The following is a 14,133-nucleotide window of genomic DNA, read 5'->3' as shown; positions in this document are numbered from 1 at the left end:
GCCGAGGCGGGCGGATCACGAGGTCAGGAGATCGAGACCATCCCGGCTAAAACGGTGAAACCCCGTCTCTACTAAAAATACAAAAAATTAGCCAGGCGTAGTGGCGGGCGCCTGTAGTCCCAGCTACTTGGGAGGCTGAGGCAGGAGAATGGCGTGAACCCGGGAGGCGGAGCTTGCAGTGAGCCGAGATCCCGCCACTGCACTCCAGCCTGGGCGACAGAGCGAGACTCCGTCTCAAAAAAAAAAAAAAAAAAAAATACATCCGTAACTTGTACAATAGTTTACTTATGTAAACTTGTAAACACTCCACAGGCTTTACACTCTTTTCCCCACATAAGAGCAAGGCATGAAGTTTGTAGAGATGGGGGTCTCCCTAGATTGCCCAGGCTGCTCTTGAACTCCTGGGCTCAAGTGATCCACCCTCCTCTGCCTCCCAAAGTGCTGGGAATACAGATGTGAGCCACGGAGCCTGGCCATTTCATAATGTTTTGAACCAACCTTTTACAATTGGGAAATTTCAGGTAAAGTTCCAGATTGTCAGCATGATATCTTGGGCCTAGGCAGACCAAATTCTTTAATAGCTCCCAAGGACATCCATAAAATATTGTTGTAAACCAGGCACGTGCCGCAGGCTGAGAGGAGTGGTAACATCCGGGGAGGTGTGGGAGTTTGAGAAGGAAGCATTGTCTTGCAAAACCGGAAGCTGTGGCAGCTCTGAGCTCATGTTCCCCAAAGACTGCCACCTGCAGCCTGTAGGCTGGTGCCACTCTGCAGGCACCTCACAGCTGTCACCACACACAGGGCATCTGTGGCTTCACACTCAGCCCCTTCCTCATTCACATGACCCACTGGGTCCTCTAGACCCCAGGCACCAGGAAATGGTATCTTTAGTAAAATGCAGAGATAGCAAAGCTGGCCCTGGAAGGGAGCCCCTGGCAGAGAAGTTCAAGGCCAGCTATTTCCCAATCTCACCGCCAGGACCTGACCGCCACATTGACCAGGGGCTCAGTCTTTCCTAGGTTTTCTTTTTACACAGCAGGGACACGGCAGGGCAAATTCAGGCAAGACTTTTGTGGAGTGCAGATTCCTGTTACTCTGTGGCTGTTGCTTTAGCAGTTTTTCTGTTAGTCCCAGTTTCTCCTGAGAGACAGACAGGCTCAGCGTGGCAACAATTACCAAGGGGGATGGTGGAGAGGGAGCAAGCCCTTGGAAGCGTGGGTGGGAAGAGGTTATAGGCCTTACACTACTGCATACGAGCATTCTTACTGTGCAGCTGCTGCCATTGATTAACTGTGAAACTGAAAAGGTAATTTCTTCTTTAAGACCTCTGTGTCATCCTAGAAGGATTAAGAATGAGATAGAGCTGATAACTTGGGTGTGGGCAGGCGAAATTGTTTAATCACACTCAAGGACATCCATAAAATATTCAGTTGTAAGCCAGGCACATGTCACAGGCTGAAAGGAGTGGTAGCATCCTGGGAGGTGTGGGAGTTTGAGAAAAAAGAGACAAGTTGGCCTCTGTCCTTAGCAAAATGAACTTACTGACTACGTCAGTTTTATGGACTTGATGCCCAGGATTCTCTAGTCTTATGTTACCTGTGTATCAGTTTATAGGTTTTATATTCCCTTCTTAAGCAATTCAGGTGAAATTCACATAAAATTAACCATTCTGAAGTGACAAACTTACTGGCATTTAGTGCCCTCAGAGTTGTGCAACCACTACCTCTGTCTGGCTCCTAAGCATTTCCATCAACCCAGCACCCACTGGGCAGTTACTCCCCATTTCCTCCTCCCTCCAGCCCTGGCATCCACTAATCTGTCTCTATGGATTTACTCATTCTGGATATTTAATACAAATGGAATTGTATAATATGTGACTTTCTGTGTCTGGCTTCCTTCATTGTAGTGTGTTTTTGAGGTTGGTCCACATGGTAGCTATATTCATTTTTGAAAATGTCAGCTTGTCTTAGTTGCGGTAAGTGGCAAAAATGGCGTTTTCATCCTTGGATTAATATTTAAGATGGGCTAGCCTTAAGGATTGAGTGTGGGCTCAAAATGGTAGTAAAAGTATCAGGGGATGAAATTCAAGAGGAAAGAAATTAGGGTTTCTCATTTAGTCTGTTATGCTTATACCAGATTCTTCTCATCTGATTTCTTTCTGTTCAGTCCTTAGAGGGCTGTGGCTTGTTTTGCATATGAGGAAGTGCTTAGCACATTGCCTAGCAAACAGGTGGTACTCAATCAATAAATGCTATCATAAACGCACTATTAAAGTCAATTCATATTAATTTTGATTTCCTAGAGTTTGTAAATTTTGGGCCAGACAGCAGAGGATAGTGGTCAAGTGTGGGAGCCCCAGACCTGGATCAAACCCCAGCTTCATCATTTATTAGCCATGAGACCTGTGGCAGAGAGCTCGACTTCTCTGTGCTGCAGATAATGCTTACTAGAGCAATTAAGAGGACTGTATGAGATGCCCAAGGTAAAGAACTGAACATAATGCTTACAACACATTAAATGGTTGACAGATCCTAGCCATAATGATTTGAATGGGCCATGTGGCTTCAAAATCTGTTCAGTTTTGAAACCCTTTTCTCTTGGCAAATTTCCCGTAGTAAGTGGAAATGGCACAATAGCCCCGTTTATGAGACAAAAAATAGCCATTACAGCATCTAAACATTTGAAGGCACCACTCTGGACACAGAATTTGATGACCACCTTGTTGAAATCTTGGTTCTTTGGTTGATTTTCTTTTTTTCCTCCAAGTTTTTTCTCCCGCCTTAGGAGCATCAGAGAGAAAATGATAAATAAACAAAAGGGATACACATTCTCAACGGCATATACTTACAAAATGTATATGAAAATAGAACACTTAAAAACTCTCTAAAAACATGAGGCATCATCTCTTTTGATGATGGGAGTTAGGTTACAGAATCACTGCTTAAGTTTGGGGGAATATTTTCTTTTTTTTTTTTTTTTGAGATGGAGTCTCGCTCTGTCACCCAGGCTGGAGTGCAGTGGCACGATCTTGGCTCACTGCAAGCTCCGCCTCCCAGGTTCAAACGATTCTCCTGCTTCAGCCTCCTGAGTAGCTGGAATTACAGGTGTGCACCACCACGCCCAGCTAATTTTTGTATTTTCGGTAGAGACGGGGTTTCACCATGTTAGCCAGACTGGTCTCAAACTCCTGACCTTGTGATCTGCCCACCTTGGCCTTCCAAAGTGCTGAGATTACAGGCGTGAGCCACCACACCCGGCCTATTTTCTTTTGAAGCCTGTTTGCCTCCTTGAGCCACCACGTCAATGGAATCTTCCTGCAGAAATAATCTTATAATGGTGAGAAGCAAGGGATTTGTGTTGGAAACCAACCCATGGAATGCTCAAACAGGATGCAAAAGACTCCTATTTCCAATCTACAGAAAAAAAAGAGGTGACGTGCAATCATACTGTCAAATCAGTATCATACCCCACTCAAACCTGGACTCATGCTTAGCTGCTTCTGTGATGTTCCTATTTCCGGACTCTCCTTCCCCAGCCCAACATTTTAAACTCTATCACGGTCCTTGGAGTTGTGGCAATTAAGAGATCTACATGGATTTTAAAAGCACTGAGTCATATGGCGTGGCTCTGTACCTTGTGAGGAGATGAAACGGCCAGTGGAGCCCGGCCGGACCCGGGTGGGAAAAAAGGGAAAGAAGGAGGTGATGGCGGAATTTTCAGATGCCGTCATGGAGGAAACCTTGAAAAAGCAGGTGGTTGAGGCCTGGAGCTACGAAGCCATTGTCAGGGACATGGACCCCTTTCTTCACTGCATGATCCCAAACTTCATCCAAAGACGACTTCTTGGAAGGGCTTCAGAAGGAACTTATGAACTTAGATTTCCATGACAAGTATAATGATTTATGTAAGTTCCAGCAGTCTGATGATTTAAAGAAGAGGGCCTCACATCTCTGCTTTAAGGAAAATTCTGTTTGAAGATTTCTGGTCCTGGCTTTCTGGCATTTCTAAAATTTACTGGAACCAACCATCGATGTGTCCTGTGCTAAATATGAATTCACTGATGCCCTGCTGTGCCATGATGATGAGCTAGAAGGGCGCTGGATCGCCTTTATCCTGTACCTGGTTCTTTCCTGGGACAGGAGCCTGGAGGGTATCCTGGACCTGTACAACATTGATGAACACTTTCAACCGAAGCAGATTGTCGTCTCTTACCCCTTTATGGAACAAACTGGTTTTCTTTGAAGTATCTGCAGTGTCCTTTCACCAGGTGTCCAAAGTCCTGTCTGAAGTCACATTTGTCTATAAGTGGCTGGTTTCATGGTCCTTCACTGACTAGGCCTCCCAACTACTTTGAACCCCCTCATATCTTGGAGCCCTCACACCCCACAAGAACATGAAATTGTTTGATTGGATCAACCTTACTTATCTGGACATGGATTACCAAATTCAAACTCAAGAAGAGTTTGAAGAAAGTTCTGAAATTCTCCTAAGAAATTTCTTAAGCCTGAGAAATTTGCAAAGGTCTGTGAGGCCTTGGAGAATGGAGATGTGGAAGAGAGCAGCTGAGGTCCCCCTAAGAAAAGGTTTTTTTTTTTTTATTATCATTTTTTAAATTTTAAATCTCGGCTCACTGCAACCACCGTTTCCTGGGTTCAAGCAATTCTCCCGTCTCAGCCTCCCGAGTAGCTAGGATTACAGGCACCTGGCATCATGCCTAGCTAATTTTTCTATTTTAGTAGAGACAGGGGTTTCACCATATTGACCAGGCTGGTCTTGAACTACTGACCTCAGGTGACCTGTCTACCTCGGCCTTCCAAAGTACTAAGATTATAGGCATGAGCCACCGTGCCTGGCCAACAAAAGATGATTCTATGAGAAAGCTGAGGAGAGTAAGCTTCCTGATATATTGAAGGAGTGCATGAAGTTATTTTGCTCTGAGGCACTATTCTTGCTGCTCTCCAACTTCACAGGCCTGAAGCTTCACTTCTTGGCCCCTTCGGAAGATGAGATGGATGACAAAAAAGAGGAAGCAGCAGCCTCTGCTGCTGATAGAACTGAGGAAGGGACTGGCCATAGCCCTCCTGAGCCAGAGAATAATCAGGCAGCCATCAGCATCAACGGCCAACAGAGCCATGAGCAGACAGACCGAGTCAGAGGAAAATGAAACAAAGAATGAATCAGGTGTTCCCACATGCCAAAGGGAACTGAGGCGTTGGAAGACTGGTCACCACACTTTTAATTCGTGACCATGGCAAGGCTGATTTTGCCCTAGACTTAATTCTCCACTGTGGCTGTGAAGGCTGGGGGCCAGAATATGGTGGTTTTCTTACATTGCCAAAGATGAAGACGAAGAGCTGCTAACAGTGAATCCAGAAAGCAATTCTTTGGCATTGGTCTACAGAGATAGAGACTCTGAAATTTGTCAAGCATATTAACCACTGAAGCCTGGAACAAAAGAAAACCTTCCCAAACACAACAGGTTTCTGGGACTTTTCATTTATCTATTATGAATGACAGCACTGGGCAAAGCTGAACAAAAACATGATCCTTCATCAGTACTGGGAAGTCTGGAACAGCTAAGCCTGGAGTGAAGGAGAGCTACGTGGTAGCTTGCCTGACAGTGTTCTTTAAACTGGTTGTCCTTTAATAGGACTCATGATTGTCCTCAACCTAGACCTTGAGCTTGAAGCTATGTACTTACCTCTTGAATAAAAAAAAAAAGTTGGCTTTATTTTAAACATTGAGTTCTCCTCTTTCCATATTGGCTTCTTCAGTGAATTTTTCAATGATTTTTTTATGGTGGTAAAATATTTATAACATAAAATTTACTAGCTTACCCATTAAAAAAAGAAAAAAAAAAAGGCACTGAGTGTCCATCCCCAGGAGGAAGTTCTTGGGATGGAAATTTTAATGGGGGATGAGTGAGAGAATGTTGGATTTTCTGGTGGAAGGCAGACCCAGCAGTGCCACTACCAGGAAGGTTCTGGGCCTCTGGTGGTGGGCGAAAGAAGGTACTAGAAAATAGGGATGTGGGAAAGGCAAGGAGAGGTTAGGGATTTTCTTCCCACTGGGAAGTTTACCTTAGACTCACTGTATTCTTTATATGTGGAAAGGAAGTAAGATATTTCATGAGTTGCACAAAATCAAGTCACTAGGATAAAACTTCTAATTTTATTCTTTACTGGGCTTTATATAATAAATATACATCCTCTCATGTTGAAGATTTATATACTGTTGGGAAAAATGTTTTAAGCTCATTGGAAGAGGGGAGACCATAACATTTCACTTTCTTAAACAGGTAGCAAATAATGAATATATATGAATACAATAAACGTATCTCAAAAAGAATGATACAACTTTTATTTTCCATGGATTTTACAGATACTTTTGCTACATAGTTTATGTATTTTTATGAGATTTTTTTCATTTGTATGAAGTTCATTCAGCCTTATACAATTTTAAGGTGATATGTTTGGTAGTGTATCTATAATCTTTAAAAAGTTTAGAGTTTTTGGAATGTACAGTATATGAGGTAAAATCAAGATTACATTAAAAATTGTTTTCTCCTCTGCACTAATTTTGCAGTGAGGCTCAAATGGCAAGTATACTATTAAATGACATTTACTATCAAAAATAGGAAGTTCATTTGAATTACTATGAAAAACATAAGCCACTGTAACTTGACACAGTGGCACATTTTACCATTTTAGACATTCAACTATATATAAATCTCTGGGCTATTACACTCAGACTCATTTGTACTGCCAAATGTGGCACTTTAAAGAAGTTTCTAGAAAACAATCGCAATCACTGTTGTTTCTGGGGAAGGTTATCACCCTATACATAAGAGATTAAATTTAAATAAAATGTAAACATACAGTATATTATAGTGACAGGTCATTCTTACCACTTAGAAAGGCCAAGTTTATCCATTTCTTTTTTGAACAAGGGTTAATGTTTTTCTACAGCACAGATCATTTGACATAAAACTGTTACAATACATGCCCATTCTATTATAAAAGAAATTCTTCAGAGATCTTCAAAGCACAAAAAATACGTTCTTTTTTCAAAGACTGACAGAAGTGCTTAATAATCACTAAAATGCCAACCTCAGCAACTAAAAATTAGTGATTCGCTATCCTAAAATTCAAATAATAAATTAAAAAAGCTAGTTACAGGTGTTTTACGGATAACAGATGTGCTAAAACAAGAATTGTAGATAGTTTCATTATAAACTGTATTATTACTTGCAGTCATCGACATCTAGGCAAGATGTACAATGTGATACTTGACAAAATTCAGTCTGATCATCCAATAACTCACAAATGCAAGCTCACAAAACATTAATGAATTATGCAATTGCAAAGTGCTCTAATGCAACATTAACCACATGCAATCAACAATTTGGAACAGTATCCAAACAGACATTATACGTTAAACGTTTAGTTTTCAAGAAAGAAAGCAGCTTGAAGTTTACTGGTGCAAATTAATTTTGTCTTCAGATTTGGTGCCCCAAACAAAAAGGTTAGGTTTGATTATGAATTCTGATGGTGGTGGCAGCAGTTATGGGAGAAGCAGCAGAAACTTATGGGAGTTCTTCAAAATTAGCCTATACCAGACAGAGTGAGTGTATGTATGTAATATATACTTCTACACTTGTTATGTGTATATGTGTACACTTGTTATATGCCATATATGTATGTGTATACCCTTATACACATACATATAGTTCAAAGGTTCACAAAACAGAAGCCAAATAGGTTTGAAATTCAATTTACTTTTATGATTACTTTCTAAAAAGTATTTAAAAGCACTCAATTCTTTTCCATGTTCTCAAGACCTGAAGAGGTACTTTTTGAGTAAACATCAAAATATTTTTAGGCCAAGTAAACTGTCTGTTCTTTAAGTACTTATCTGTGAATTCATGAATATATATTTATAATGAAGAACTCCACATTTATCAAAGAAGCTTTTCTTCATGCATACTCTTTCATCCAGTTTTTGTTTCTAAGCCCCTCCAGTTACTCATCATAATCCCACTTACCAAATAATTAAGACAAATGAGGAGGTAGAAATATAGCACTAGATTGCTTTCACAGCATCAGACTTTAACATTTTATATAGCATGTTAGTGTAAATTCTATTCATTCTGAATTTTTCACTTGGTAATAATCTTTAAAACAAACAGATCAGGTTATCACTGTTACACTCATGCCGATTCGTCAAAATATCCATTCTAAATTGTTGCCTCTTAGAAAGTTTTTCTATAAGAAGGCATTTGTTAAAAAAAGAGAGAGGGAAAGAAAAAAAGAAGACCCACCCTAACAAAAAAAACAAAATTGATATTTTTGTGGCTTGCATTCTAATAAAGTGCCAGCCTCTACCTAACAATATAAGCACTGAAAATGGCAAAAATGATGTGCTATAGTCTCAATGCCAGTGCTAAATGCCACTGTTTTTTATAAAAGCAATACAGAAATAATTTTAGTACATGACAAAATAAAATGTAATAGAGTTAAAAAATAAAGTTATATTTTCACTTGATTACAAAGTACTGAATGATAAAGGCAATCAAAATGGAAAAGAAAGCAAACAGCACAAGGATGACGGCAGCACACTGCTCGTCACTCAGTGCCCGTCGGGTCCTTGTGCTTTCCACAGTGTCTCTGTTGGTGCTGGCTGGTGGTTCAGTCCTCTGAGAGATGAAGAGCACTGTGGTGCTGTAGGGACCTACGAGGTCCTGGTGTCCCAGAGAGTCTTGGCACTGGCGAATGGCACATACACGGAAGCGATATTCACAGTTCAGCTGAAGGCTGGAATACCGGAAGGAAGAGTCGGGACCCTTGTAAATCTGTTAATAAAATATTAGAAGGAAGAATTACGTGTGAAGGCTGGACAGAAAATGTGTTAAAACTGGCTAGTGTTAGAATTGTTTTTCATGTGAAAGCCAGTGAATGCCATTGATTTTATCTTTTAAATGACATGTTAAAAATACCTGTCCATTAAAGTACTTATCTGTTTGTTGCATAGGGGCAAGAGAAATTTCAAAAGCGAGGATCTACCCTTATACGGTTCACAGATGAATTAAGGAGTGCAGATGTGCCCCAGGGCAGCTAGAGAACAAGCAAAATCGGTCCTCAAGCATTTTCTTGCTTTTCTCAAATGTAAGAAGTCATTTTTCAATGCAATCATTCCATCAAAGAAGGGATAGTGTCTACTTTTGCTTCCCCCATTATGTCTTTGTATAACTGATAAATTTCCATATAATTTCAAACATATCTGTACAATGAAATGGAAAATGAATAAGGGGAGCTTTCTATAGGTGCCTATGGCAAATCACTGTATAAACCAGAGAGGGGAGATCACTTAGAATCAGAAAATAGGACCTCCTCTGCCATGCCTCACAAGGGAAATAAAAAGAATGAAATTCCACGGATTTTCAGAGGAATGTGCTAGTAATTAACCCATTTATGCCAGAGGTTGCAAATTTTTTTTTTGTGAAAAATCAGACCTTGGCAATAACCTTGATCAGTGAGATATAAATAACTACCACAAGCTTAGTGTTCCAATAATGGAACACTAGGCATAAATAAGAAGCTATATACTAGAACTGTTCACCCCTGGCATCCAAGGTCTGCTCTACCACTTCACACTCCAGATGTGATTTTAGACCAACTACCTTAGTATAACAGACATACTAGTAGTTAACATGTATGATAATTATGAGGATGAAATGAACTAATGCTTGTTAAAGCACTTAGCGCAGTGCTCAGCATGCAGTCACTGCTCAATCTGTAGGAGCTATCATTTCCAATAATGAGCAACCTCCCACCACTCATTCTGTAATTGAGAAAACCAAGGTTCATAGGGTTAAATGACTTGTCAGTTGAGTTTCTCCAGTTAGTTGGTGGGCTACAAGTCAGAAGAACCAACACATGGGGGCTTTCAAGTACTTTTAGCTGCCTCAATTGTACCTGTGATGTAAATCTAAATTTTTACATATTGCTTTGCTCTCAAAGTAAAGTAAGATCTCTGTCTCATTTTTCTGTCTCCAGAATCTAGCATATAGTAGGTACTTAATAAAAGGACATTAAATTAGTGAATTATTGGCAATAAATAAAAATGTGGATGCTGATAACAATATATAAAGGAACTTACTGAAAGAAGCTTTAAGATAAATCTGAAAGAAAATGGTGACTATACATTAGTTCTAAGGATGCATAATGTTTCAGGGAATAGAATGTAGAAATGATCCATGTTTGGGAGATGGTACAGGTTGGGTATCCCTTATAAGAAATGCTTGGAACCAGAAGCATTTCAATTTTTTTGATTTTGGAATAGTTGCATATTTACTAGTTGAGCATTCCAAACCCAAAAATCTGAAATTGGAAATGCTCCAATGAGCATTTCCTTTGAGTGTCATATCGATCCTCAAAAAGTTTCAGATTTTGGGTGGAACATTTTGAATTTTGGACTTTATTTGGGATGCTTCAACCTGTAAAAGGATTCACTTAAAACAGAATGTTGTATGATAAAGTAGTGTAAAATTGTATACATAACACTGAAGTAAATTGAGTAAAAATTAAAAATATGTATTTGTCTTATGGATATAATAGATGATTTTTGTCTTTATACTTTCCATGTGTCTTCATATACCATTCCATGAGCCTGGCAGTATTAGGTTAAGAAAGAAAAACCTCAACAAATGGCATGAGGGTGATAAGAGATCTGGTACAAAGAGGAAGAATACATTAATTACACTAGTTGGAAATTTAGGTTAATTCAAAAGGGACCACTGTAGGTGTGTGACATTAAAACAGTGTTTATGGAATCCTAATCGTGAGGCTGTGTGAAGGACTGAAGGGAGCTGAGTAGGACAGGGACTCTTGATGTACATGTAAAAAGTGATGAGGCCCTGATGTAGTTTTATGGATTTAGAAACAAATTCTGATTAAGAGTTGATAGGAAAAAAAAATTCATCTAAGAATTTAAAGCTTGGAGACCAAGATGATATTGGTGTCTATGACACTGATGAAGTAAAGATGTTGGAGAGGAGATACTGGGAGGGAAGATGATGGGATCAAGTTTTCAATTTTGTATTTCAGATGTGGGAAGACCTCTAAGCAGGAAGAGACACAGGTAACTGTAAATACAGGACTGAAGAAAACAGATTAACCTGCTCAAGCTAATTTCAGAAGGTTTATACACCCAAGAAAAGTCATTCAAACAAGCCTTAAGGTTATTCATATACTACTCAAATGTGGAATCCCTATTTCCTTTAAACGTGTAATACAATTATATTTTCTTTAATATTAATTTTGCTTCCTCCTTAGAAGGAAACCTACTTATCTGTAAATTACATTTCAAATCTAATTATCCTGTCAATTTGCAGATGGCTTAATAAAGAAAAACAATTGCATGCCAGATTTAATCTGACTCTTTGGATCTTTTGTAATTTCAGTTAAGATATTACATAGAGTGGTTACAATAGCACAATACTGGAATAAAACAAATGAAGGATCTTTTTTTTAGTGGAAGAGGAAAATATAAGACACAATGAAAACAACCCAGCTTAAAAGCCCTCAAAATTAAGGTTACAGGAAAAAGGGAAAATCAGGTGAAATGTATAGGTATTTAATTAGTCTTTGGAGTGGTATAAAAGCTTATTCTTTTTAAAAGTTGTAACAAACATTGGCAACACTCCACTCTATCTCACTGCTATTCTTGCTTTATCAGAAAGCTATCTTTGAAACCTCTTGGCTAGGAAGGTGACAATTCCTCTAGGTTTCCATTATAACTTCATGCCTAATGTCATATTTACAGCACTGCATTATGACTATTATTAATACTATTATTGTAAAAGCCTCCTTATTAGTCTTTCTAGTTCTGCCCTTGTCCTACTGTAGTTTCAACACTATAGTCAAAACAACGTTGTGTCTGATCACGTGAATACCCTGGTCAAAATCCTCCACTGTCTTCTCATTTCACGTGGAGTAAAAGCCACAGTATGGCCTATTATGCCTTACGTCACTCCATACCACCTATAGGCCCCTTAGGATTAACTATCCGACCTTATCAACTCTTCCCTTTGCTCTCTCCATCCAGTCATATTGGCTCCTTTATGTTCATCAGATTTAATAGGCATGTTCCTGCCTCAGCGTATCTTCTTGGAACACTCTTCTCTCCATAGTCATCTCCTCTGGGCCATGCTGAAATGTCAGCTGAGTGCCCCAAATGAAATAACACTCAGTGCCCTCCCCCTCCACTCCCTATTTCTTTTATCCAATTTTGTTTTTTCTCCATTACACTTATATCTGACAATATATTGTCATGTTTACTTGCTTATAGTGTCTTCTTTTCCACCAGAATGTAAGTAAGCTCCATGGAGGCAAGGGACTTTTTGTTCAGTGCTATATCCTGAGTGCCTGGCACAGAATTCAATGAATACTTATCAGATAAATGAATAATCTGTTCAAGTGTAGTTCATACTGAAAAGATTTGGAATCTTGAGATCTCTGGAACATAATATATACTGAATAAATATTTATGAATTAAAAGGTAAAGATGGCCAAATCTTACACTGAAAATACATAAAAATTAAAAAAGGGTAAAAATATGCATCCACACATTAATATCTTGGTACATACCTGTTTGAATTCTGAATCTTTTCCCAACATAACTTGAAGACTGTAAATAACTGGATCACCTTTCATTGGCTGTAAACACTCCCATGTAATTTCACAAATGTGATCATTTACTTTCTCTATTTTGGGGGCTGTAGGAAACAAATATAAATAATATCTGTTCCACTTGATTTTTAATTTGGTACATCATGCAGACACTTGTCTTAATAAAAATCAACAAATATTTAAAATCCACTTATAAACTTGAAATAAGTATCAGTGAATTTTTGAAATTTGCATCCAAAGAGGTTAAAATCAGCACTCTTGTATTCTAAGATATGGGATCTCACTCTGTCACCCAGCCTGGACAACAGTGGTGCGATCATAGCTCAATGCAGCCTCAGCCTCCTGTGCAGCTACACACACAGGCATATGCTGCCATGCCCAGCTGATTCAAAATTTCTTTTGTAGAGAGGCAGGTCTCAGTATGTTGCCCACGTTGGTCTCAATACTCCTGGCCTTAAGTGAGCCTCCCACTTCAGTCTCCCAAAGCACTGGGCTTATAGGTGTGAGCCACTGTGCCCTGCTTATAGTCAGCACTCTTCTTAAAGCTAAGAGACACTAAACTTGATGAGCAAACAGAAAAATGACTCAGTGAAACTCAATATTATTAGAAAGACTAGTCAAGAAGAGTTCTGCTGTTTAACAAATGATAGGTTTAAGTACATGATCTAGGATATGGTTCTAGAAGTCTCTGTGATTAGTCTTCAGAGCAATTAACTTTATAGACTTTTCAGCTAAAAATAGAGTGTAGCCCTTGCCAGAGTCACTTTAAAATAAGAACCCCTCTAAAATTAAAAGATAAATGTATATACAAATGTGTGTAAATATGTGTACATGTGTGTGTAAAACTAATTGAAAAACCCACATTAATGAAGAATTTGTTTTGCTTAACAGATGACCAAGCTTTCCTTCTGAAATCCAAATGAATGTAATATCAATAACTCAAAACGTTTAAACAACCAGAGTTTGTGATTTTTTTCTTTAAGCAAATGACCTCATTAGAAAACCAGCCTTCCTATTCAATTTAGTATTTTTATGCTACATTATTAAAAACATCAGTGACAAAAGCCAGTACTTGTCTGAATATGAGCGTGCCAGATAAAACAGCTTTTATTATTGAGTGGAACTCTCAGTAGAGTTGGGCTTGCCTATACGATTTTGTATAACTGGTGGACATATACTGGATGCTAAATTTTAATATCAGTAAACAAAGCATTTATGAAAATACATTAAAAAGTAATTTATTATAAAGAAAATAAGTTCAGGATGTATAACTTACCTTTCAAGGCAGCTGGGACAGATTTTGGAGTAGTGAAAATATATTCTTGGGAGAGGGGACCTTCCCCAGCTTCATTACAAGCTTGAATACAGAATTTATAGGATGTTGACTCATTAAGTCTTTGTACTTTGTATGTATGACATGGTCCTCTGTATAGGGATACAAACC

General features: G+C 38.9%; 1 protein-coding gene and 1 pseudogene across 6 annotated transcripts in view; one reads left to right on the top strand and one right to left on the bottom strand.

Moving 5' to 3' along the window:
* On the top strand, positions 3,774-5,842 carry OGFOD1P1 (2-oxoglutarate and iron dependent oxygenase domain containing 1 pseudogene 1; annotated as a pseudogene).
* FNDC3A (fibronectin type III domain containing 3A) overlaps positions 6,153-14,133 on the bottom strand; it is a 234,489-nt gene continuing 226,508 nt past the window's right edge. For all 6 annotated transcript variants that reach the window (NR_103528.2, XM_017020440.3, NM_001079673.2 and 3 more), the window contains 3 exons: positions 13,966-14,132; positions 12,648-12,775; positions 6,153-8,851 (listed from right to left, as the gene is read on the bottom strand). Coding sequence is in view for 5 of the 6 variants with exons in the window: in XM_017020440.3 (XP_016875929.1) it covers positions 8,537-8,851; positions 12,648-12,775; positions 13,966-14,132 (610 nt within the window). In the remaining variant the exon portion in view is untranslated. The remainder of the gene's footprint in view (positions 8,852-12,647; positions 12,776-13,965; position 14,133) is intronic.

The sequence above is a fragment of the Homo sapiens genome, chromosome 13 (genome assembly GCF_000001405.40).
Source record: "Homo sapiens chromosome 13, GRCh38.p14 Primary Assembly".
NCBI lineage: Eukaryota > Metazoa > Chordata > Mammalia > Primates > Hominidae > Homo > Homo sapiens.
The sequence above is the reverse complement of the archived record's forward strand: the minus strand, read 5'-3'. Positions and strand labels throughout refer to the sequence as shown.